The sequence below is a fragment of the Homo sapiens genome, chromosome 9 (assembly GCF_000001405.40).
Source record: "Homo sapiens chromosome 9, GRCh38.p14 Primary Assembly".
In the NCBI taxonomy this organism is placed as follows: domain Eukaryota; kingdom Metazoa; phylum Chordata; class Mammalia; order Primates; family Hominidae; genus Homo; species Homo sapiens.
The window spans coordinates 95,117,170-95,142,360 of NC_000009.12; the positions used below are offsets into that span (position 1 = coordinate 95,117,170).

General features: G+C 44.7%; 2 protein-coding genes and 1 pseudogene across 23 annotated transcripts in view, besides 6 other annotated features; 2 read left to right on the top strand and 1 right to left on the bottom strand.

Annotated features, from left to right (window-relative positions):
* Window positions 1–25,191, top strand: part of AOPEP (aminopeptidase O (putative)) — a 423,526-nt gene that overhangs the window by 390,471 nt on the left and 7,864 nt on the right. The window lies entirely within an intron of this gene.
* FANCC (FA complementation group C) overlaps window positions 1–25,191 on the bottom strand; it is a 218,656-nt gene that overhangs the window by 18,116 nt on the left and 175,349 nt on the right. For 20 of the 22 annotated variants that reach the window (XM_006717001.4, NM_000136.3, XM_047422951.1 and 17 more), the window contains 4 exons: window positions 18,177–18,333; window positions 9,360–9,412; window positions 7,917–8,016; window positions 146–221 (listed from right to left, as the gene is read on the bottom strand). In XM_006717001.4, coding sequence (XP_006717064.1) covers window positions 146–221; window positions 7,917–8,016; window positions 9,360–9,412; window positions 18,177–18,333 — 386 coding nt within the window. The remainder of the gene's footprint in view (window positions 1–145; window positions 222–7,916; window positions 8,017–9,359; window positions 9,413–18,176; window positions 18,334–25,191) is intronic. The other 2 variants (XM_006717004.4, XM_047422959.1) reach the window with 1 other exon arrangement.
* On the top strand, window positions 6,332–6,769 carry RPS26P37 (ribosomal protein S26 pseudogene 37; annotated as a pseudogene).
* Window positions 12,758–13,052: a silencer, noted in NCBI's record as "tiled region #10736; K562 Repressive non-DNase unmatched - State 23:Low". NCBI's record gives its function as "represses a minimal TATA promoter and a strong SV40 promoter by Sharpr-MPRA in K562 cells {active_cell/tissue: K562}" and the evidence as "EXISTENCE:reporter gene assay evidence [ECO:0000049][PMID:27701403]".
* Window positions 14,198–14,492: a silencer, noted in NCBI's record as "tiled region #8238; K562 Repressive DNase unmatched - State 12:CtcfO". NCBI's record gives its function as "represses a minimal TATA promoter and a strong SV40 promoter by Sharpr-MPRA in K562 cells {active_cell/tissue: K562}" and the evidence as "EXISTENCE:reporter gene assay evidence [ECO:0000049][PMID:27701403]".
* Window positions 15,012–15,514: an enhancer, noted in NCBI's record as "H3K4me1 hESC enhancer chr9:97894463-97894965 (GRCh37/hg19 assembly coordinates)". NCBI's record gives its function as "activates a minimal SCP1, AML or CMV promoter by ChIP-STARR-seq in naive H9 embryonic stem cells {active_cell/tissue: H9 hESC(naive)}" and the evidence as "EXISTENCE:reporter gene assay evidence [ECO:0000049][PMID:30033119]".
* Window positions 21,001–21,631: an enhancer, noted in NCBI's record as "H3K27ac-H3K4me1 hESC enhancer chr9:97900452-97901082 (GRCh37/hg19 assembly coordinates)". NCBI's record gives its function as "activates a minimal SCP1, AML or CMV promoter by ChIP-STARR-seq in primed H9 embryonic stem cells {active_cell/tissue: H9 hESC(primed)}" and the evidence as "EXISTENCE:reporter gene assay evidence [ECO:0000049][PMID:30033119]".
* Window positions 21,001–21,750: a biological region, named in NCBI's record as "H3K27ac-H3K4me1 hESC enhancer GRCh37_chr9:97900452-97901082".
* Window positions 21,581–21,750: an enhancer, noted in NCBI's record as "experimental_110500 CRE fragment used in MPRA reporter constructs". NCBI's record gives its function as "activates a minimal promoter by MPRAs in K562 erythroleukemia cells, with activity observed for both the introgressed and non-introgressed 9:97901117 variant alleles {active_cell/tissue: K562}" and the evidence as "EXISTENCE:reporter gene assay evidence [ECO:0000049][PMID:34662402]".

Genomic DNA, 25,191 nt, shown 5'->3' on the forward strand with positions numbered 1-25,191 from the left:
GGATCCTGGGGGCTTAAAGGGATCTTAGAAATAACCAGTTCTGTCTCCCTCATGCTGTAGATAAGGGCCTGATGAGGAGGTCATAATTTGACAATGCTCTTCCCAGGAAATCATTCTGATGTGGGCAAAGTCAACCCTAACTCACCTTGAGGGTCTTGCAGCAGCACCATGGCAAGAGATGGAGAAGTGTAAGGAAAGTAGGTCTTGAGTGCAAACCGCAGCTGCCACAGGATGGAAAATCCAAAGAGCATGAACATTAAGATTGAAACGGGGTCAGGAAAATACAAAACTCTGAGTCCTCTGCCCAAAAAAGACCCACCAGTACTAACATGGTCAGAACACTTTCTTAAACATTTATTTTTTGAAAAATAAGCTCCCAATAACCTCATATTTTCCAGAATAATTAACCTTTTTAAAGTCACCTTCTGGGACTTAAAAATTTATGCTCTTGATGTCTTTATGAGTTCTACTTCACATGAACCCAATTATACAAATAAATCTTCTGTTTTGGAAAGACTTGCCAAAGCCGTTGTGAGATGTTAGGTATTTCAGCATTTTTTTTTTTTTTTTTGAAACGGAGTTTTGCTCTTGCTGCCCAGGCTGGAGTGCAATGGCGCGATCTCAGCTCACCGCAACCTCTGGCTCCCGGGTTCAAGCGATTCTCCTCCCTGTCTCCCAAGTATCTGGGATTACAGGCATGCGCCACCAAGCACTACTAATTTTGTACTTTTTAGTAGAGACAGAGTTTCTCCATGTTGGTCAGGCTGGTCTCGAACTCCCGACCTCAGGTGATCTGGCCGCCTCGGCCTCCCAAAGTACTGGGATTACAGTGAGCCACCATGCCCGGCTTGTTTTTGTTTTTTTATTGAGATGGAGTCTCCTTCTGTTGCGCAGGCTGGAGTGCAGAGGCACAATCTCAGCTCACTGCAACCTCCACCTCCCGGGTCCAAATGATTCTCCTGCCTCAGCCTCCTGAGTAGCCGGGATTACAGGCACATGCCACCACACCTGGCTAATTTTTGCATTTTTAGTGGAGATGGGGTTTCACCATGTTGGCCAGGCTGGTCTTGAACTCCTTAGCTTAAGTGATCCACCTGCCTCGGCCTCCCAAAGTGCTGGGGTTATAGTCATGAGCCACTGAGCCTGGCTCAGCATGGTTTTTAAAATAACAACAAAAGTGTAAAACTGTGCTCGCATTTCGAGGGCCAAAGAGCTACAGCTATCTATGCCCCCAAGGGGCACAGAAGCTTTTTTAAAAATTGAGGTAAAATCTATAACGCATGGAGTGCATGGGCTTTAAGTATATGAGGTTTTGGTAAATGTGCAAATCCATGTGACCACCACCCCAGTGAAGACACATTTCTATCACGCCAAAAAGTCCCCTTCCAATTCTTAACAATCATTCCCTCCACCCCACCCTGGCAACCAATGTTTTGATTTTGACAAGAGAGATTAGTTTTGCTTATTCTTGAATTTTGTGTAAAGGGAACATAAAGTATGTTTTCTTTTGTGTCTGGCTTCTTGGGCTCAACATATTTTCTTAAAGATTAAGCCACGTTATTGTGTGCGAGTAGATCATTCTGTTTTTATTGCTCAGAAGTAGTCTGAATTGTATGAATATGCCATAGTCTGTTTAGCCATTCTCCTCTTGATGTGCATTTGGGCTGCTTCCAGTTTGGGGCTGTCATGAATAAAGCTGTAGTTAACATGCATACATATGTCTTTTCATGGACATGTGTTTCTGTTTCTCCTGGGGATGCCATCGGAATGGAACTGCTGGGTCACAGATAGATGCTTGTTTAACATCGTAAGGCCATATGGTTTTCCGGTGTTGTACCATCTTACGCCCACCAGCAATGTATGTGAATTCCAGTTGCTCCACATACTCCCCAGCATTTCATCCATTCTAGTGGCTGGGAACATAACCCTATGTATGCTTGCTTTCCTACCTGTTTCACTCTGCACTTTCCTGATGGCAAATGACGCTGAACAGTTTTCATGTGCTTACTGCCAACTTATGTATCTTTTTTGAAAGTATATATTCAAGTCTTTTGTCCATTTTAAAAACTGGTTTCTTAGGCAGTTATAAGAGCTCTTCATATATTCTCGACACAAGTCCTCTGTTGTATACATATATTACAAATATTTTCTCCTAGCTAACGGCTTGCTTTTTCAGTTCCTTCTTTCTTCCTTTTCTTTTTTTTTTTTTTTAATTGAGATGGAGTCTTGCTCTGTTGCCAAGCTGGAGTGCAGTGGTGTGATCTTGGCTCCCTGCAACCTCCACCTCCCAGGTTCAAGCGATTCTCCTGCCTCAGCCTCCCAAATAGCTGGGACTAAAGGCACATGCCACTATGCCCAGCTAATTTTTGTATTTTTAGTAGAGACGGGGTTTCACTATGTTGGCCAGGATGGTCTTGATCTCTTGAACTCGTGATCCACCCACCTCAGCCTTGCAAAGTGCTAGGATTACAGGCATGAGCCACCGTGCCTGGCCTGCTTTTTCAGTTTCTTAATGATATCTATCAAAGAATAGAAATTTTACATTCCTTTCTTATTTTTTGAGATATGGTTTCACTCTGTTGCCCAAGCTGGAGTGCAGTGGCATGATCACAGCTCACTGAAGCCTTGATCTCCCAGGCTCAAGTGATCCTCCCACCTCAGCCTCCCGAGTAGCTAGGACAACAGGTGTGTGCCACCACGTTCAGCTAAATTTTGTATTTTTTGTAGAAAAGGGGTCTTACTTTGTTGCCCAGGCTGGTCTCCATCTCCTGGGCTCAAGAGATCCTCCTGCCTTGGGGCTCCCAACGAGCTGGGATTACAGGAGTGAGCTATGCCCCCAGCCTAAAAGTTTTAAATTCTGATGAGGTCTAATTTATCCATTTTTTCCTATGGTTAGTGCTTCTGAGAAATCTTAGATCACCTCAGTGTCAAACAGATACATTATCCTATGCTCTCTCTAGGGGCTTTATCTTTCTAACATTTCTGTTGAAGCCCATGATCCTCTCAAATTAACTGTTGTGTGCTTTACAAGGTAATGTTTGAGGTTCATTTTTCTACATATGGACATCCAGTTATTCCAGCATCATTTGTTGAAAACGTTCCTTTCCCCATTGAATTGTCTTGGCATCTCTGTCAAAAATCAGTTGGCCACATATGTATGGGTCTATATCTGGACTCAATTCTGATCTATCTATGGCTGTCTTTTTGCCAATACCTCACTGTCTTGATTACAATGGCTTTTAAAATCTTTTTTTTTTTTTTTTAAGACAGCATCTCGCCCTGTCTTCCAGGCTGGAGTGCAGTGGTGTGATCATGGCTCACTGCAGCCTCCACGTTCTGGGCTCAAGCAATCCTCCCACTTCACCCCCCGAGTAGCCGGGACTACAGGCATGCATCACCATGCCCAGCTAATTTTTTATTTATTTACTTTTTTGTAGAGACTGGGGTCCCACTATGTTGCCCAGGCTGGTCTTGAACTCAACTCCTGGACTCAAGCAATCCTCCCACCTTGGCCTCCTAAAGTGCTGGGATTACAGGCATGAGCCGCCGTGCCCAGCCAGGTCTTCATTTTTTTTGTTCAATCTGACGTTTCTGCCTTTTTATTAGAATATTTAACTTCCATTTAATTGCTGAAATTAATGTCATTGTTGGTAGTTTTGGGTTTAGGTCTATCTTTTGACATTGGTTTTCTTTTTTCCCCTCAATTTTTTTGTTCCTTTGGCAGCTTACACTTCTATTTTTTGGCACCTTAAGTCAATCAGATTGTGCCAAGTTCTGGCCCTCTCCTGGCCCCACACTGCCTGCCTTCCAACCTCACATGAGGGCAGCTGGGGGGAGGCAGGAGACCTCTCTGTGTGATGTCCCTTTAAAGGGCTGATGGCCTCCAGTTTCTGTCCACTTTTTCAGGTGCTCTGTAGTGCCTTCAAATAGATTTTTAAAAATACTTTGCCTGGAGTTTATCATTTTTATCTGTGGGAGATGATTTAATCTAGCTCATTACCAGATGCTGTCATGGCTGCAACCAGAAACTGACCTGACTGGCTGTACTGAGCCACAGTGCAGGCTTAGAAAAAGTGGCTTGTCACACCCATTTCAATTTCTGCCTACTGTCTGATAGGGCATATTGATGGAGCTGACTGTGTCCTCCAAACAGAACAGGGACAAGAGGAAAGGGTAAGAAGAGACAGAAGCACTGACATGAGTGCTTCTGATGATAGGAGAGAATGTGGATTTATGGGATCACTCATAAACTGTTGCAGGAAGTGCAGATGAGCACCAACACTTTTGAAATGAGTCTGGCAGGATCTATGAAAGTTGAACTTTTGTATTCCAAATACACTTCCACTCCTAAGTATCTATCCCAGAGTGTCCAGAGCAACATTGTTTGTAATAAAAAACAAAACCTGGAAGCATCTCAAGTGCCTACCAGCAGGAGGATGGCTACACTGCCATACGTTTTCACAATGGACTATGCATAACAGTACTTCCCCACAGCCACACATGGCAACGTCAAGAAGTCTCTGCTGAGTGGAAAAGCAAGTCTCAAAAGATTGCACAGAGTATGCTGCTCCTGTTTGTTTTATATAGTGCAAAAACAACCAAAACTAAACAAAACATTGTTTAGGCAGTCATATATATGTGATCAAACTACTTTCAGAAAGAGCAAAGGGATAATAAACATAAAATTCATTTTTTTTTTTTTTTTTGAGATGGAGTCTCGCTCTGTCGCCCAGGCTGGAGTGCAGTGGCGCAATCTCAGCTCACTGCAAGCTCCGCCTCCCGGGTTCATGCCATTATCCTGCCTCAGCCTCCTGAGTAGCTGGGACTATAAGCGCCCACCACCATGCCCGGCGAATTTTTTTGTATTTTTAGTAGAGACAGGGTTTCACCGTGTTAGCCAGGATGGTCTCGATCTCCTGACCTTGTGATCTGCCTGCCTCGACCTCCCAAAGTGCTGGGATTACAGGTGTGAGCCACCACGCCTGGCACATAAAATTCAAACCAGAGGTTACCTGGAGGGAGAGAGGCAGGGAGGAGCACGTGGATAGACATATATTCAGATTATTAGATATCAGGTTTACAGATACTCATTTTATTAAGAAGGAATTAATGAATAAAACACAGAGAGAAAAGAGGGTCACGCATCTACCAAATATGACATGAAGGGTTTTGATTAGCTAAAAATGGACAGTCAAGAAGGCAGAGGGTCAAAAGATGTAGATGGCCATCAGTTAAAAAGACAGGCACTCAGGTCCAGCTCTAGGAAGAGAAATAAACTAACAGATACCTATGCAGGCATTGGCAAAGCAAAGAGACTTTCCTTTCCTTTGTTGAGCTGAAGGCGAGGGTGGTGAATTCCTGTTTGTTTTTGGATCCCTGCCTTGCCTCACACCAGGACCCAGTGTGTGGTCCCACGTCCTTAGATACGTATGCCTGGTCAGGGTACTAGTCTCAATTAAAAGCAACTGCAACATCAGTCCCAATCCATAGTGCCCACGGCCAACATAGAGGCTGAGGGTGAAGCTAAGAAGAAAAAGAGGCGCGAGCTAACCCTAAAGAGCACAGTGGCACTCCTCCGTGGCCTCTGCTCCAACCCAGGTGTGCTCCGCGAGGCCACAGGTGAGACTCCCCAGAGGCCCGTTCCTAATGGGGTCTACAAAGAATGCACAAGGGAGGCTCAGAGACATTTACAGTTAGGCTCAAAATAACCGTGAGGGCCAGCTGTGCCTTCCAGCCGAGCCACCTCCAAAATTCTAGGTGGGACCATGGATAGCGCAGCTTGCTACAGCCCAGCTAACTTCTCCAGGGAAAGTGAGGGTGGGAAAAAATAAATCACAAATATTTACTGTTGGCCAGGCACAGTGGCTCAAGCCTGGAATCCAAGCACCTTGGGAGGGCAAGGTGGGAGGATCCCTTGAACCCAGCTGTTTGAGACCAGCCTGAGCAACAGAGAGACTCTATCTCTACAAAAAAAAATTTAAAAATTAGCTGGGCGTGGTGGCTTGAACCTGTGGTCCCAACTACTTGGGAGGCTGAGGTGGGGGGATCGCTTGAGCCCACGAAGCCAAAGGCTGCAGTGAGCCATGATCATACCACTGCACTCCAGCCTTGGTGGCAGAGTAAGAGCCTGTCTCAAAAAATAAAATAAAATAAAAATATATTTATTGTTGCTTTAAAAAGCAGAAACAGGCTGGGTGTGGTGGCTCACACCTGTAACCCCAGCACTTTGGGAGGCCAAGGTGGGAAGATTGCTTGAGCCTCAGAGGTTGAGACCAGCCCGGGCAACATGGTGAAACCCCATCTCTAATAAAAATACAAAAATTAGTGCTTCCTCCAGTCCGTGCCTCCAATATGATGAAAAAAAGAAGGAACAACGGTCGTACCAAAAAGGGCCGCGGCCACGTGCAGCCTATTTGCGACACGAACTGTGCCCAATGTGTGCCCAAGGACAAGGCTATTAACAAATTCATCATTGGAAACACAGTGGAGGCTGCAGCAGTCAGGGACATTTCTGAAGCGAGCGTCTTTGATGCCTATGTGCTTCCCAAGCTGTATTTGAAGCTACATTACTGTCTGAGTTGTGCAATTCACAGCAAAGTAGTCAGGAATCGATCTTGTGAAGCCCACAAGGACTGAACACCCCTACTCCAATTTAGACCTGCGGATGCTGCCCCACAACCCCCACCAAAGCCCACGTAAGGAGTTGAGTCCTTAAAGTCTGAAGACGGACTATTCTCTTGAGAAAAATAAAATGGAAATTGTACTTAATTAAAAAATACAAAAAGTAGCCATGAGTGGTGACATGCACCTGTGGTCCCAGCTACACGCAGGGGCTGAAGTGTGAGGATCACCTGAGCTTGGGGGGTTGAGACTGCAGTAAACTGAGATCACATCACTGCACTCCAGCCTGGGTGACAGAGTAAAACCTTGTCTCAAAAAAAAAAAAAAAAAAAAAAAAAAGTAGAAATATCGGCTAAAACCTGAGAGATCTATTTGACGTTGGCGGGGGGTGTGATCTGGTGGAGCCAAGCATTGTAGTTCTCCTCTCGGAAGTCAAACTGCGGAGAGCTTCACAGGGGCCGTGACATACTCTACAGATGAGATGCACTGGACCAGCACCACTCTCGACAGGCAATGTGTCCCATAAACATTACTTCTGTGGCCGTTAGAAATCAAGGCCAAATATATATGCTGAAAGGTGAAAGCTCGCTGGTAGCAAAGGTCCCTGTTTCACGAGGTCCCTCTAATTGGTCATTGACTCTTGGCAGCTGTTGCCCAGCCTCTGCTGCTGGGGACGTGGAGCACAATCTTCTGCAGGGTGCGGGCCTGGCCTTTGGTTTACTGACTGTGTCTAACACACACCTCCCGCTCACTGCCCTTCCTCACTCCCCTTCTAGTTAGTCAAGCCTTTCCCAGTCACTCTTACCACCTCCTTTCCTGGAAGCCAATTCACATTTGGGTCTCTGATAAGAATGAAGATGCTAATAATTAAGAATGTCCAGGAGTGCTTTGTAATAAGTGCCCTTTCCTATTCATCACATGCCATATAGACCCCAGGGTGCCTCCTGCTGACCTGGGAGGCTCAGATGCAGCCAGGGGGCAGTGTCCTGCTCGGCAGACAGTGCACAACACAGGGCCAAGAAGAGCCGTCCTCCAGGGCCATGCATGCTGGCATGACAGAGTTCTCAGACATAATAGTAGACAGATGCTTCTGGGTATCAGGGCACGGGGCAGACAGATCTTGATTTATGTTAAGTTAAAATGGCTTAACCTTTGTTGGGGCACTCATTAGGAACCTTTCTTTGTGAGCAAAACAGTCCATCAAAATTATTGAAAATAAAGTGCTCTTGTCCAAAATACTCTCAACAGCGTCTTATTCTCTGGGATGAATGAGTAATATATGTGATATAACAAACCTGCTTGCTTGCTTTCTCCAGAGCTTCTACAAAGCACTGCGTAAACACCTGAATAGTGGCTATGATTTCCAGGGCCCCATCGGTTTCCAGGAGTGCACACCTGAACAATGCAAAGTCAGATCAGAACACGTTTAACAAGTAATCCGGCAAACATGAAAACCTGCACTGTATAAGGGAAAAGTAGAAACACTTTTTTTGTGCCATAAGCTTCAGCAGTATCTCAACTCATCAGATTTCAGTCCTTGTGTGAAAACAGGATAAATTTGTCGCTCCCTGTTATATTTTCTTTAAAATTGCAACGTGCAGAGCTCTCTTTCTTGGTTCTTAAATTATTAAGCAATGCAAATCCCTTCCACACAGGCTTGCATACTCTGTACAAATATTTTTGTATTGTATGCCTGGACACGCAACATCAACATTTTGCTTTCACAAGTGGAGACGAAGCTGCTCAAAGGGTAAAATGGCCTCGTCCATCCACCCAGCAAAGTAGGAAAATAATGTGTGTGTACCTGGTTTCGCTTCCATGCATTATTGTACAATTAATTTTTCTTTATGTTTGTTTAAGCAAAACAAAACAAAACAAACAAAAAAACTCTCAAATTTTGCTAGCTTTAAACCCCCAACACTGTTCTGACTACTGGTGAGTTATTGTCACAGTAAAAATTCCTTTCCCCAAAGTCTGCAGTCTGCCCTGCAGCCTCTGCTGCTGTGTGTTAGGTGGGAGGGGCTAGAGAGAGAGCTGATATGGGCTCCCCTGGAAGAGGGGCTGGGACACTCCCAGGTGACAAGCTCCCCAGGGGCGTCCAGTCTTAGTACTCCATGGTTAGTACTCCCACTAACTTAGTACTCCATGGTTAAAACTCCCACTAACTGCCAGCCACATCTCAGCTTCATGGCTGTGAGCTCCTCGTCTCTTGCCGTCTGTAAATCTAATGCATTTCCCAAGAAGTACTCATATTTTCAAAATAAAAATGTAATGTGTTGTAAGAGAACATGCATGGTGTATTTTGCCTTTCAGAAGAGTTCTGTTAAGAATGACTTTTATTTTTCTTGGCTTTCTTTAGCTTTAAAGTCTTTTAAAAATATTGGTCAGCCCTCACATGGTGAAGGGAGTATATTGCTACCCTTTATTCTGAGCTGAGAAAAATCCTACATGAATATTTCATGATATTAATGCCTAACTCAATTCTGTGTTTCTATTATTAGAATCTTAAAAGGCTAAAGAAAATAAAGTTATCTTAATTCTTAGGCACTGGCCTTTAAATTTACACTGATTTTTGAGTTTTTACCTCTAATTACCAAAAAGCTCAGAGGAACAGGAGGGAATCAGAAACTCTAATTTCCCCATGATACAGCCAGAGACTACCACAACATTTTCTGATTCATGCTTGGAAATGGAACCTTTTTTACATCAATTACTAGAAGAAACAGTGTAACGTTTACCTGAACATCTCATCAACAACCCGGAATATGGCAGGGTGGCAGGCTGCTTGAGGCTGTAAAAGGAGAAGACCATGAGAATGTGAAATATCACAAGCACTTTCTCAGAAACTTGCTATTATCAGCCAAAGGAGTTACTGGGAACTGCTGATGTCCAGAAAACTGGCATACTCCTTTTGGTTAGAAGAACGAACCACTGCTGTACTGAAAACGCCCCACATACAAGTGCATACGGTGGTCTCCCTGGGCAGGGGTTACAGGCAGCTTATTCCTCTGTATACTCCTGTATGTCCCACATTTTCTATAAAAGCTCAGGCGATCCATAATACAGAATCAGTAAGTATTAGAGAAACTTTAAACATCCCTCTGCCCGCATGCCGTGGAGCCTGCCTGTACTGCCAGTTCTACTGAAGTGTGCCTGTGTGACCTCCTCAAATGGCTAGATGTGCCTCGAGGTCAGGCCCGTGCCTGCAGCCTGTTTATTCGGTAATGGGTACATAACAATTTAGAATTATTATTGGCAAACCAGTGACCACTACCACGCTGGACTAAATCACATCACATCTTAATGCACTTAACAGCTTGCGTTAAGATGAAAAGGGGGTTCATGAAGAAGAATAAAAGTTATCTAATTTCTCCTTGAATATTTCGGTGATGGGTTCTGATTATTTGAGTCTGCAGAAGCTGGCCTCCGGTAGCCCTGGGAGCTGGGGGGAGCTTCACTGGCCCAGTCCCTGGTTCCCTATCTTTTTGGCCAGAGCTCAAAGTATGAGATGATGCCAGATGAAAATGCCCATTTGTGTTCCAAAACAGATCCTTTATAGCAGGGTCCGTAACTTTCTCGGCACCAGGTACCGGTTTCTTGGAAGGCAATGTTTCCACAGACCGGGAGGGGGAGATGGTTTTGGGATGAAACGGTTGCTCCTCAGATCATCAGAGGACAACCCGATTCCAGGCATGCGCAGTCAGGATGGGGCTCTGGTTCCGTGGGAAGCGAAGCGCGGGGCTCTGACAGGGGCAGGTGCGGGCGGGAAGGCTAGGGGCTCCTCTCCGCTGTGCGCCCAGGGGGCGGGGACCCCTGCTTCACAGCAGCATTCACATGTTAGTGGATCAGGCGCTATTGGAAATTCAAGTCAGAGTGCATTTGATATGACTAGCTTTGGGAAACACTGTTCACAGGCCCCCGTCGGCAAGAAAAAAGGAGGCGCTCTGCTCCGGCCGTGCCCTGGATCACACTGAGGCAGGACCGCGCCTCCTCGCGGCCTCCCCGATGACATTGAGCCCGCGCCATCTAGCGTCCACTGGTCAGCACTGCTGGACCCGCCGGGCTCCAGGCAGGAGCTCTGCCACTTTTTCAGGACAGGATAAATCTCCTTTTAATTATTTCAAGATTTCTAATTTGCAAGTTAAAATGTCCTACTCTTTAAATAATCTATGCTCCCTCATCCTTCACTGATGTGCATTTTTATCTAAAAGGAACCAACTTGATATTCTTACAGATAAATTCATTATCTATGCAAGAAAATAATTTGGCAGGACCACCGTTCAAGAGAGGAGAGGCAGGTTATTTCGTGGCTTCGAACTTAGGCATGTCAGTTAATCTCCTGATGCCCAGTCTCACTGTAAATAATAAAAGTTATTAAGAGGTCACCGGATATAAGCACGGAAAATATAAAAGTTTCTATGTATTCATAATGAAAAAATAAAACAAGGGAAAAGCAACCGTATGTCTTGAAGAAATGTGATTCATCTAAGTTTGCCAGAGCAATTTTCAAAGTTTGTACAACAACATGCCTATTGAATAAGAGTGTTTAAGATCAAATAGCACTGTTATGTGCCCACAGGCAGACAGATAAGAGCTTGGAAATGCGTTGATAGAAAGTAAGATGAAACTTGAAAATGGTAAAATTAAATTTCTTTTTTCTAAATGGTCAAACTATCCCAGAGCCATTCTATAGGTTTGATGCTAGTAGAGAATCATTCAATACTAATTATAGGGATTTCCAAACAGCAAAGAAAATGATGATCAGATGTAGATTAGGGCTACTATGAAAACCACTGGGGGAGCAAGGAAGACAGCTCTTACTCAGTTTGTTAGAAGAGAGTGAGAGCTTAGATCTGCTCCTCTTCTGTGCGCTGTTTTCTAGCAAAATCGCTCAATCCAATGTTTTAAATGCCTGCTGGCTGTGTGGAATCTGCTTGTTCTTCCCCATACAGATGGACTCTCCTCTTAGATTTCTTTCTTTCCAAATATTTCAGACCCTTGGCTACTCTCAGCCTGCTTCCACAACCCATTTTAGCTTTTAAAACAGGTAAGAGGCCAGGAGGCAGGGGAACCTGCAGAAACAGCAACGGCAGAGATTTTGATTTGAAAACCAGTCTCCTTTTTTTTTTTTTTGAGACAGGGTCTCATTCTGTTGCCAGGCTGGAGTGCAGTGGTGATCTTGGCTCACTGCAACCTCCAACTCCTGGGTTCAAAAGATTCTCCTGCCTTAGCCTCCTGAGTAGCTGGGATTACAGGCACGTGCCACCACACCTGGCTAATTTTTGTATTTTTAGTAGAGATGGGGTTTCACCGTGTTGGCCAGGATGGTCTCGATCTCCTGACCTCACTGAAAAAAAAGAAAACCAGTCTCCCTTGCTACCCCTACAGCTGTGAACTGCTCCTTCTCATCTGCACCCCTCACCGATGGCTTTTAAAATGACACTCTTTATACTTTTTGAGCACATAATTTCAGGGTCAGTGAGTCCCCTCATGAGGACTAGAGTACTACAGGTCAGGCATATGTCCCAGCGACATCAAATCACAAAAGCAATCTTAAGCTGCTTTTCTTATCAAGATAATCTTCCAAATAGAATTAAGGTTTTAATACACGCTTCTTTGGAAGCCGTATCTTCCCCCCTAAATCTCTGTAGCATCTTCATGAGTGATGACGCAGGCATCTAACCTCTGATCCTGTTTTATTTGTAAGGTGGGGCACTCCGGTAACACACCAGAGGTCACGCTGCAAGCCAGGGCTCTGAAGCCCCATGACTGCGGCCATTATCTTTTCTATAAAAGCGGGGAAATAAAATAAACCTTTTGTGGTTTCCATCTGTTTGTTTTTCTCCATCCTACCAAAATCTGTTCCTTCTCAAGCTCTCTCTTCTCCATCTGGCCTAACAATTTCCACAGGCAGATCATTTCAACTCGAGGGGAGCTATGTCAGCAGGAGGTCTTCAATAACATGAGTCTTGTCCTTCCCTCCTTATCTCCCCCCTCAGGCTTTTCACTGAATGCCCAGGATGACTAGGGAGCGAAGATGGAGAGCTCTGGGTTCTGCCCTCCCTCTTGTATAGACCCGATTGTTCTGCTGGGTGTGCATCCCCTTGGGCTAACAAGAGCTTTCCCTCTGATCTCCCCTCATGGCTACCCAGAATTGCATTGTTTATCTCCCCTCCACCTAGAAAGAAAGCCCATCTTCATCCCTCAAAACACAAGGGAAGACAAAGTCAACATGGAATCAACACACAATAACCATGGTCTCAGTGCCTGTTTTGGAAGAGAGGCAAGGGAGAGGCCAACTTGTCACTCTGCACCATGAACTGTGCAAATTACACAGGCTCTTGTGCCCGGTCCTTGATGTTTACTTAAGCTGTTATTTTCATACCAACTCACCAATGATTATTACAAGCCACTTGCCACTTGAAAGAGGCCTGAGAACAAGAAGAACAGAATTCTCAGGAAGAAGCATTTCTTTCTGTCATTTGCTGATTCTGTGTGTGTGTGTGTGTGAGAGAGAGAGAGAGAGAGAGAGAATAGGGAAAAGGAGAGGGACAGAAAACAAACCAAAAAGGGAAATTATACTATGATTTAAGGTAACTCACAGACAAAAGCAAATCCCTTTTAGAAAAAATAAAAAGGCAGTGAAGGAACAGAAAAAATTATCAAGTGCTTTCCATCTATCACCTTTCATAGATATATTCGCCTTAAAAATAAAGAAGGAAATAGCAGATGACAGAGAAGCTGAAGTTCATTAAGCCTGGAATAGATTCTTTCCTGGTATTTTCATGTACTTGCATGTAGCTTAAATATTTACTTAGGAAATGGGTCATTTAAAGAATCAGCTGATGGGCAGCTTCCCCTCCAGTTTACCCAGCAGCCGGACAATCCCGTCCCACCGTGTAGCTGTTTCCGAGCCACTGTTCTCTCCACAGTGGGAAGCCCTTGTTGTTAATATGTGCATATTCACTACAAAATACCTTTCTTCTTAAAAAGAAGATTCTCCATAAGAGTCATTTCACCAGTGAACTCCTCTATTGAAGTGAAAAATGATTTGGCTTGAGAAAAACCTATTTATACAAAACCTTCACATCTATCATGTACAATGAGGCACCTTTATAAATATGTATTTTTTATTATGCCATTTGCTTCTTTTCTATTTTCAAAATACTAAACATAAGACTCTAAATATCCCTTTTACATTTTCAGATCTATTTTGTTTTAAAACATTCAGGTTCCTTTTAACAAATTTGAGCTCGGAAAAATTATTCTTTCTTTTTAATCTTTACCAGATGTTGTTTATACACAAACAATTTTTTCAGTACTCCATAATGCAATTATTGTTTAATTAGTGATAAATCTGTCATTCCTGGGCTTAAGAACTTAACAAGTACCAAATGTACTTTTGCGTCTTAAATTTACATGTGCTCTTCTCTGTGTTTGGACACAGAGGATCCCCAGCACCCCCTCCCCTGCCTGAAGTCCTTCTAGCCTTGCCCAGTGGCCTCTATCCAATTAGCCCGGGTAGCCCAAGCTGGAAGAAAGCTCCTCAGCCCCCTGCTGCTTCACAGCTCAGCCTGAGTGGCAATGACCCCTACGTCCACCCCTGCTTTGTTTTTGGGTTTTTCCCTCTCTCCCTTCATCTCTGGCCACAAGGTCTGCATCCCCAACTGCAATTCCATTGCAAGGAAACTCGCAACGTGGGCCTCTTTCTTCACAGAGACTATGCTGGAGGATCTGGTGCCCCCCTGAGGCTAATTCTGGAAAGTGCAACTCCAGTCCAAGATGCAGAACCTCCCAGCTTTTAGCCATACACATCAGCCAGCACTACTGGACTACTGCTAAATTATCTACTTCAGCTCTTGTTCAATTACATGCACCACATTAAAGAGCTCAAAAGGAAGTGCCGAAAAGACTGAAAAAGCAGGAAAAGAAAACCCTGGCATGTTAGTGAAAAGCTACTTAAGCACAGCAAACTGACAATATCACCCAGGATGTAGAGTGAACTCTTCAGCACAATATTTTACCAAGGAGGAGCTGCATACTGGGAGTCTGTGTAAAGGAAGTTTCTTTTTCTTTCTGAAGTGCTACAATTGCTACCTGGAGAATGAGGGAAAAAAACACAACCTATCCCATATTGAGGAGGATACTGAGGTATCTAGATGCTTTTTATTCTTAAGTTCTTATTAGATAAAGTAATCTTTTGAATTAAGCCATAAAGATTTTTAGGTAGGAGAGAAAATGAAGCATATTCTGATATCAAATCTTAGCAGAAACAACTCTGCCTCCTGGGCGCCTCCTCTGCTCCTTTCTTTTGGGGACAAGTCTGCCTGGGAAGGTGAGGCTAGCTCCTCTGGACCCAGCTGCGGGCGGGCTCTGCCAGCAAATGGGAGGGCATGAGAATCGGGTACCTTCCGGCCCTGGCATGCAGCTTGCCAGCCAAGCACAGTGCCACCCTGACACCCTGCAGACACTTTTCATTCCAATGTGGAATCCAAAGAATAGCTTTCTGGGCTCCACAAACAAAATTGTAACTGGAAAACATAACATCCTTCTAATTTGGGGCCAGCCTTGGGAAACCGAACAATGCCAAGAAGGCTGCATAATTAACAAGTGGCTTTCACTGCTGTCGGTGACATCGGTTTTTAAGGTCAGGTCTGAAGCTATGGATTATGGTCTTCCCGTGCCCATGCTGTCAAGGAAAACACAAGACCATCTGCTTTTGAAAAGTTTCAGTCTGTACAGTAAATGACAATCTAGGGCTAATACCTCACTTGATGTAGGAGCTACCAACCGTGGCAGACAGCATGACTCGACAGCAGTCCAGTCCACCGCACGGAAGCCAAAGGGGAAGCCTCAAAAGTGAACGGGTTTTGAAAACTTTTCTTTTATTTTAGATGTTAAATACATACATAGTCATTTGGAACTCAGGTAATAAGAGACTAATCCCTCATTATTCATGGTCTTAATGGAAAATATCAGACCTGCGAGTCCAAGAGGCCAAAGAACATTTGGGAAGGTCATTTCACTTTGTACAACCTGTACCACACTTTTATCTTTTGTTTTTGTTACATTTTGGTAACTATAGAATTTCCAGGACTCATTCTGCATAGTCCCAAGAGAGAGAAATATAATTAACAGTGCTCTATATAAAACACAAGTTATGTAGACCATCACACTTTAATTACTCTCAGAATCCAACTCTAATGTAATAGGCATCAGGTTTCCTCTGGAGCACAGCGCAGCAGTCTCGTGCTATCTGAGTCTTAGAGATCTCTCTGATACTTCTGTACAGTCCTGTCACTGCACCAAGATACTGCACTGCGATAAATGAATCAGATGATGCAATTAGGAAGCAGGCTCTTCAGGTTACCCCTGCAATCACTTAGCCACGTCACAGGCCTATTGCGGCCTGCCTGGCTTTCTGGCACTGCAGGCCCAGGATGCTGAGGAGAACAGCCCACACCAATCAGGGGCTTCCAGCCATCGTCTGTATTGTAATTACGTCCTTGAACCATGAGGCACAGAGAGGTCACATCCTGCCAATGCCACAATAAATTAAACCAAATAACACCCTCTAGAATCCCCCTTTAGCCATAATGGAAGCTCTGAATTTCTGCACACATGATCCCGATAAAAGCTTTTGTAAGTCAACTGACTTCAAAGCTGTGTGACTCGTGGGAGATTACTGTAAACTACAAACTGGAGACTGAGCATTATACAGTTATGTGCAATGGGACGGCCTGCGTTCTCTGTCTTGCATCTGCTGTGCTCACCACAGTGCTGCTCAGGCATGAGGGCCACAGGCAAAAAGGACATGGAGAAGGTTCAGGGAAGAATCCAAGGATTAAGGAAAGGCTGGAAAAAAGGCAATGGGACTAGAATTTTTCAATAGGGAGAAGACTTAAGGAAAATGTCATAAGCACCCTGGAAGCAAGCATATAGCCCAGTTACTATCATTTTGCCACTGAAAAGGGACCAGAGAAACTGAAATCCTAGTATGCACATGTAAGTTAGTAATAGATTTAGCAGACAATAAAGGTAATTTATGACCTTGAATCACCAGGAATGGGCTGTCAGAGGGCTTCTGAAAGTCATGATTTATTTTGAATTGTACTGCAACCATTTTAAAATAAGGTGCATTCCTATTTCTTGCCTTAATATATGACTCTTCCGGATGGTAAGGTTAGGTAGTAATTATCCTTAAGAAATCTGTTTGGGCTCTCTCAGTCTTAATATACACGTCTTCCTTTCTCTTCTATCGTGGTAAACTTTCAAGTCAGGTGGGATCCGTGTGTGCAGCCTGAGGTACAGGTGAGAGCAGCGTGGCTGTCAGCACCTGCAACCCTATGCACATCGCCCTGGGAGGCCAAGGGGAAGGGTGAAAGGGGCCATGAAACAAGGGGAGAAACGGGATCGCGGAGGAAGGCAACTGATTCCATTAGGATTCCCTTAGACAGTCTCCAACTAGAAAGAGAAAGAAAGAACACAGAAGTCCCAACTGAACTAAACAAGTTGAAGGCCTCTAGGAGGTAGGGGTTCTATGAGCTCAGGAAAAGTGGGCACAGCCAACCTCAGGGACTTCCTCAGTCTCAGCTCAAGGGCGAGGGTGAACACTCCCTCCTTCCCAGTGTCCCGGCCACTAACTAAAGACCGGACCGTTCACTGTGGCTCTTGGAACTCACTTTCTCCACTTGCAGGAAGCAGGAAGAAGTGGAAGGCAATCTCTGTGCCACATCCCTGCAGATTACGAAAGCTAAAGGGAAAAAGGGCAGAGTTCACTGGAGCTCCTGGAAGACAGAGGCTGCGGGACCATGGCACCTGCAGGTTTCTGAATCATTTTTTCAGGGTGCCTTGGTCTTTATTCCTGTCCTTACAAAATGTGCTCCAATCCCACAGAGCTGCCTCCCACAAAGGAATATGACTGGCGAGTCAGTGGTGGCGAGGGCCACTGAGAGCCCAGGGTGCCAGACACTGGGCCAGGAGGTGGATGTCCACGTGGGCTGGAGTCCCCAGCTGCACAGTCCTGAGCGGGAAGGGAGCCAGGCGCCACCGCGCAGGGGAGGGTGAAGGCAGGTGGCCTCACACCAAAAGAAAACTTACAGAAGTCTTAGCTGGTTCTGCTGCTTTAACCATTTTTCTGGGGTTTTGTGTCTCTTATTTCATCTTTCCTCTAGTGAAGAGCTACAAGTTTATTTTTTGAATGTTTTTAATTGATTCTTCCTCTTACCCATATGTTCATTTCCAAAAACTTATTTTCCATGCTGAAATAAGAAATACTGTTTTTAAAAAGTCTGTTGTGCAAATGTCAATTCTTGTGAACATGTGATATACGGCATATCAATCAAGTAAACCTCAGATCTCTCCCTGCATGCTCCAAGGATGCAGAAAAGCCCCCTATGTTAGTGATTTCAAAAATAAAATGTAAATACACGATTATATATAAAGGTTCCAATTGCTCTTTTGTTTACATCCCCCCCTTTCATTCTCTGACTAAAAGAAATGATTCCAAGCATCTCCTTCAAGGATTTTTCCCTTCATCAAAACCCAGTACGTACCAGCGATGAATCTTTTATAAAGCATTCGATCCTTCTCAGACAATTTCTCTCACTGGAGATTAGCTTTTCAAAAAGATGCAGCATTGCTTTTTCAAGGCTGGGAAGGTGCCGAAGCCAGAGGCAGACTACAGCTGACATGGGGAGAGAAATCTTCTTCCTTTCAGAAAGAAATAAACAAAATTTTAAACAGAAATGGCTCACTGAAAAAAGAAGATTAAAAAAAGTTCAAAATGCAATCACTAATCCAATTTGTGAGACTTCTCATCATGGTCACAGCAGTGGCTAATAATTTATAGAATCAGTGAATATTTACCAAGTGCTCATTTGCAAAATAATGTGAATATGCTTCCACTTCAACTCACCTTAAGAAATCAGAAATGCTCAGGAAAAAAATTGCTTTCAAAAAGAATAAGCAAATGTCTAGTGATGGAAGAAAGAGGGAGCGATAAAAAACGGGATGGAAAAGGCCTCGTGATGCCCAGTCCCTAACTGAAGAAATAGGCATGTTCAAACACGCGTAATCATGCCTCACAATAGGGATGCGGACCTGGGTTTCGGTCCCAGCGCCACTGCCTACTAACTGTATGATCTCAGAGAAGTTAACCTCAGTTTATTCATCTGTAAAATGGGCCTATCTCCTTCACAGTGTTCTTGTAATGCAACAACACACGTACAGTGATTAGCACAGTGCTTGGCACATAAATATCCAATAACTAATTATAATCGGTTGCTTGAAAGTTGAAAATATTTCTAACAATTTCAAGGCCAGATGCAGTGGCTCACACCTATAATCCCAACACTTTGAGAGACTGAGGTAGAAGGATCACTTGAGCCCAGGAGTTCAAGACCAGCCTGGTCAAATAGTGAGGCCCTGCTTCTACAAAAAAAAATTTTTTTTTTAAATTAGCCTGGCATGGTGATAGCACACCTGTAATCCCAGCTACTTGGGAGGCTGAGGCAGGAGGATCGCTAGAGCCCAGGAGGCTGTGTTCACGTCACTGCACTCCAACCTGGGCAAAAGAGCAAGACCCTGTCTCAAAAGAAAAAAATCCAATTTCATATATGGTAGTTATGGCCTAGTTGATGCACTGGACCTTAAGTGTGATACTGGATAGGTTAGCAGGACTGGGAATCAAAGATTCCTTTAAAAAAAAAAAAAGATGCAAAGTCGTGCTCTCTCACCCAGGCTAGAGTGCAATGGTGTGATCAAAGTTCCCTGTAACCTCAAACTCCTAGGCTCATGTGATCCTCCTGCATCAGTCTCCCCAGTAGCTGGGACTACAGGTGCACGTCACCACATCTGGCTATTTTTTTTCTTGTAAAGATGGGGGTCTTGCTATTTTGCCCAGTTTGGTCTTGAACTCCTGGCCTCAAACAATCTTCCTGCCTTGGCCTCCCAAAATGTTGGGAATACAGGCCTGAGCCCCACTACTCCCCAGACACAACCATTTTGTGTAGCTACATTTGTTTCTAAAGGAACATATATTAAGGTCCTCTTGTGTCAGTGAATTGGGGCTCCACTTCCCCTCCCTGGAGGGAGCATGAGGGGCACATGTCTGTCTCTGAGCCCCAACTGCTGGCTCTGGGATACAGTAGAGCTGCCCCCGAGAGCCACCTGCCCTTTACCTGCACATCCCAGACAGTGGGTGCTTCCCAGTGGGTGCTTTTCAAACTTGATGTCTATTCATTAATCTCCCTCCTGTCTTGCCCCAAGAAAAACAAGGCTACTGCTATTAATAAGGAAAACTAAAGTGGGGGCGTAAGCCTCCCACCGACCCAACAACCCCTTCAAGGCCTGTCCCTTCACCATGACTTTTGGGCCACTTCTCTGCAGAGCTGGTGTGAAGCCCAGCAACTGGGTCCAGGGACAGGAAGGGACATGGGGAGAGCAGTTCCTAGAGGTTTCACTTTTTCTGCTTGCTTGGTGTAGCTCCTGCAGACCTTGTCCAGGGTTGACCGTGGGGCAAGAGCAGCAGGGAAGAGGCTGAAGACCCGGGGAGACTGCGGAGGAGCTGGCAGAAGGCAGGGGGAAGGGAGAAGGGAGGGAGGGTACATTCACCTCAGAGCCTCCTGATCTCACGCTCACACCCTGAGCTTCAATTTGTCCAGGACCCACCGGCAGGCCCCGTTCCTCATCTCCCCACCTCCCACACCTGGCAAAGCCCTGCCATGGTGCCACACCCCCTCAATACTGGACATGCCATTTCCTCAGATGAAAAGAAGAGAAGAAATGATTTCTGGAGGATTTACTAAGAGATCAGTTTGAGGTGTGTGGATTTGGAGTGTCTGAGGCACAACCAAGCAGAGATATTCAATAGGTCCTTGAATATCCAAGGTGGAAGCTCCGGGAGAGGAATTGGCTGAAGGTACACATTTGGGTGTCAGAACCCCAAGGGAGGAAGCTCTGAGTGTGGAGGCAGGCAGGGGAGGAGGAGCAGCTGCAGATGGCAGGAGGCACAGAAGCAGAGGACGCGTCATCAGAGCACGAGAAGATACAAAGGGGCGAATGAACCCTGAGTGTGCCGGGCAGGCCCTGGATGGCAGCACATGGCAGAGAGAGGAGAGGAGTGGAGGTGAAGCCAGGACTGCAGACAGGACTTCAGAGGACTGGCGGTAACGGGAGTGATCCCAGGCGGCGGCCCAGAGGTGGGGCCTAGTGTGCTCCTGAAAGGCTGCCAACGGGCAAGGCGCAGAGGAGTGGGAAAGGCTGAAAAGCAGTGGCTGGAATGATGCTGTTTCGCTTGCACTTGAATCCTCATTAACAGCCCTACAAAACAGGTACAAAATTATCCCCTCCCCGCACAGAAGAGGCAGCCGAGGTCAGAGAGGACCAGGACTCGCAGCTGGTAACACTTGAAGCCAGGGCGGCTGAGGTTGGAGTGAGTACAGGACCACGTTGGCTCTGAGGAGGGGTGCAAGAAGCCAGGCCTGGGCTCAGCAGAACAGTGGGCAGCTTTACTGGGTGGGCCAGACGCCGTGCCTGTGCTTATGCCCCTTGTGAAGAGGAAAGGCTTTTCCATCCAGGTGGTCAGCCAATTCTAGCCACATCAATGGAGCCCTGGAGAGGGGTTCCTGTCCAGTAATCATGGGGAAGCAGAACACCCCTGGGTGTGGAGAGGGTGCTCGTAGCTTCCATCATGGAGCCAGGAAGCTCTGAATAGGAGAGTTCGCCTCTCAGTGGCTCCTCCCTTCTCAAGCAGCAGTGCTGGCTTTGACCAGCTTTCCTCATGCCTTATCTTTTTTCAGGATCCATGTAACACGAATCTGTATGTCACTGGAAAGGCGTTTCACTGCAGTGAGAGGTCTTCTGCCAGTACCACATCCTGGCCGAGAGCCATGGCACGGTGTTTGTCATTCATCCTGCCAGGTGGTGGTGGGGAAGCTGCTGCAGCACTCAGGCCAGGCCGCCAGGAGCAGCAGCAAATTCACATGAACCAATGAAGAACCGACCCATCCTGCTTAGCATAGTCACTCAAGCACACGAGTCACACTCCAGTCAGTAAAGTGCGTGATGCGCCCATTCTAGTTTGAAAACGATGTGTGTTAATAGCTGTCTTTTTATTAGAGCCTTGATTCAGAGCACACCCTACTAATTGCTGTGAGTGATTATGTTTATGGACCTGTGTTTAATATTTGGATAGATTTTGCTCTAAAACCTCAGTGACTTAACTCTTTGTAATCACCCCTGAATGAAGGAATCGCCGAAGCAGTATCATCTTGATATGCTTGCTTAACAGAATTTGGCCGAGCCAACATATTTGTGTTCTACCTGGTGGTCTGAACCAGGCTGGCTTTAAATAAAAAGGCAAATCACAGAAAAAGAACTGCAAATGGCCGATAAAAATGTGCAGCTCTCCCATCTAATTAACAGTAAAGGAAGGGAAACGCACCGACGTGGTCTCAGTTTCACCCTCTCCGTGTAGGCGCTGAGGAGAGTGACAACACCCAGTGCTGGGGTAGGCAGAGGGTGCGTCTCCTCACAGGCAGGCAGGCACTGGCTTCACATGGCCAGTCATGTGGTGCCACTGAAGAAAATGCAAGACACACAGCCCCGTGTTAATCATCGTACTGCTGTCAATTTGCCTGGCAGAAATAGAAACATCAGTTTGAGGATATTTACTGCAATCCTTATATATGATAAGGACAAAACTATAAACACTGCAGTGTGCACCCACGGGGATGGCGGAACAGAGTGTGGGCCTCGTGCCACGGAGTATGCCCCTATTTCAAATGAGCTGGATCTGTGTCCTGCGAGGGGTATTTAAGACACGCTGGTTAAAAAGCAGGCTCTGGAGTGATGTGGCTATGGTGTAATGCTGCTTTTGTTTTGACAATGAGCAGACAATGGCTTTATATGGACTTTATGTTTAACAAGCATAAGGTATGGCTACCAGAATTACTGCAGGATGAGGAGGAGGAGGTAATGAACATTTTCTGTATATGCCTTGTGCTGTATTGTTTGACCTGACAAAATGAATATATATATATTTATATATATATATATATAAATATATATATTCATTCATTCTGTGGAAAATTTAAAGGGACAATAAAGTAAAAAAGAAAAAAATGTTTTTAGGGAAACTAAAAAATTTCATTCTGTTCAATACGTTAGTGACAGAAACGCTAAGGTTGTCCTTTTTCTTCTCTATAATGGTTCCATCCATCCTGCCTGGAATTGACCAAAATCATGAATTCAAGAAAACAGAGTAAGATAAAAACTTGACTCCCCCAAATCCCTACCTAATAATTGGGAGAGTTTTCTGTATCATAGTTATGTTTTAGGAAATGGGGTGGACATTTAGAATTTATGTGTAATACATTACTATTTTCTCCTTTAAAATAATGAGCAGTAGGCTTCCAGTCAGGGCTCCACCTAGAAATCTGATTTACAGTGACAGCGTCTGCCATGAGCCAGGGAAGCCTGGACAGGACGCTCTCCCCTGTCCAACAGACTCTTCCAAAAGACACCTCCTTGAGATTTAGAAAACTCTACTTTGTTTCCCCCAAATACTCAGTTTAGTGAGGCAGTTGTGTTTTCTCATCCTTTACAAAAAGAGGTAGCAGGTAAAGAAATTGGTCCAACTGCTTACTAAATAATTTTGGCTCCAAATATTTTTATAGCTACAAAAAAACAAAACAAAACAAAACAAAACCAGAATGCAGAATTAAATTCTTCACAAGAAAGGTTCTTGATGAGGGAGGCCCATCTGAGAGGTTGTGTTCTAAAGCTGTCTGAGCAGTAGAGGGGAGGCCAGGGCTTCCTCAGCCAAGACAAAGGTGCACTGGCAACAGTCCACCTTTTCAAACCAGAAAGAGATCAAGGCTGTTTGGGTTGCCAGACAAACTCACAAAACTTGGATTTAACTGTTATGGAGAATTGCTTACTTCCAAGGAACTGAAAAGAACACTGTTTGATCCTAAAGTTGTATTTAGGTGACAGCCTGATCTAAGCAATGCATCATAATTCAGACAAAAGTTGCCATCATTATCATCTGCATGTACAGAGCAGCTCACTTCTCAAAAGGCAGCCACCAACAAGCAGAAGAAATGTGCAAACCCAAACACACCAGAATGTCTGGCAATTACACGTCAATATAAGCAGATTTTTTATTAGAAAAGTAAAGTTTTCTGTGACTCAATTTGTGACCATATCTTATTAAGGTTAAAAAAACAGGATGTGGCTGGGCACAGTGTCTCAGGCCTGTAGTCTCAGCACTTTGGGAGGTCAAGGAGGGTGGTTTGCTTGAGTCCAGGAGTTCAAGACCAGCCTGGGCAATATGGCAAAACCCAGTCTCTACCAGAAATACAAAATAATTAGCAAGGCATGGTGGCACATGCCTGTAGTCCCAGCCACTCGGGAGGCTGAGGTCAAAGAATCACCTGAGCCTGGGAGGTCGAGGCTACAGTGAGACATGACTGTACCACTGCACTCTAGCCTGGGTGACAGAGTGAGACCCTGTCTCAAAAAAAAAAAAAAAAAAAAAAAAAAAAGGATGTGAGGAAGTCTCTCAGTTTCCATCATGGATAAACAATATTAATAGAAATGGGAGTTTTAGTTACTGCTAATTCTTTGCCACCTTTCTGTCCTTGGTATTATGCTGACTTTTCTTTGTTTAAACACTCACCTATATGATTTGACAACATTTAAATCTGGATTTTCCTTATCTAAGTTGAAAAAAACATAAACCCAACATCTTGATTGTAGGTCGGCCCTTTCTTCTAATTTACGTTTTCATTTCCAGAGGTCTCATTTTCCTGATTTGTAAAATGGCTACAGCGATGCTGAGGGTATTCAAAAGAATCTGTGGCTCCTCAAGAGTAATTCTAGTTAGGCTCCTTTTTTGGGGTAACTTGATATGCAAGAGCATAACAGACGAGTAAACTACTAATACATAAGTTAGTCAAGAAGCATAAATTAGGTTCTTCTGATAGATAATGAATTGTTTTCTTATTAAGCATTGTTGGAAGCCATATTAGCTCTTTCAGCAATGGGAATTAAGCTTACATCTGGTTTTAGTTCAGTGATTGTTAGGGGGAAAAATATGAGTTTGCAAAAACCTAATACTACACATTGTCAAAAATAATACAATTACTAGAGTCAATAATGGTAATAGTAATATGTTAACAGTTTGTGGGGTTTTTTTTTTTTTTTTTTTTTTTTGAGGCAGAGTTTTGCTCTTGTCGCCCAGGCTGGAGTGCAATGGCACGATCTCGGCTCACTACAACCTCTGCCTCCCGGGTTCAAGCAATTCTCCTGCCTCAGCCTCCTGAGTAGCTGGGACTACAGGCACCTGCCATCACACCCAGCTAATTTTTGTATTTTTAGTAGAGATGGGATTTTACCACGTTGGCCAGGCTGGTCTTAAATTCCTGACCTCAGGTGATCCACCTGCCTCAGCCTTCCAAAGTGCTGGGATTACAGGTGTGAGCCACCGTGCCCGGCCACCAACAGTTTTTATTTTTTAGAGCCAGGGTCTTGCTACATTGCCCAGGCTGGACTTGAACTCCTGGC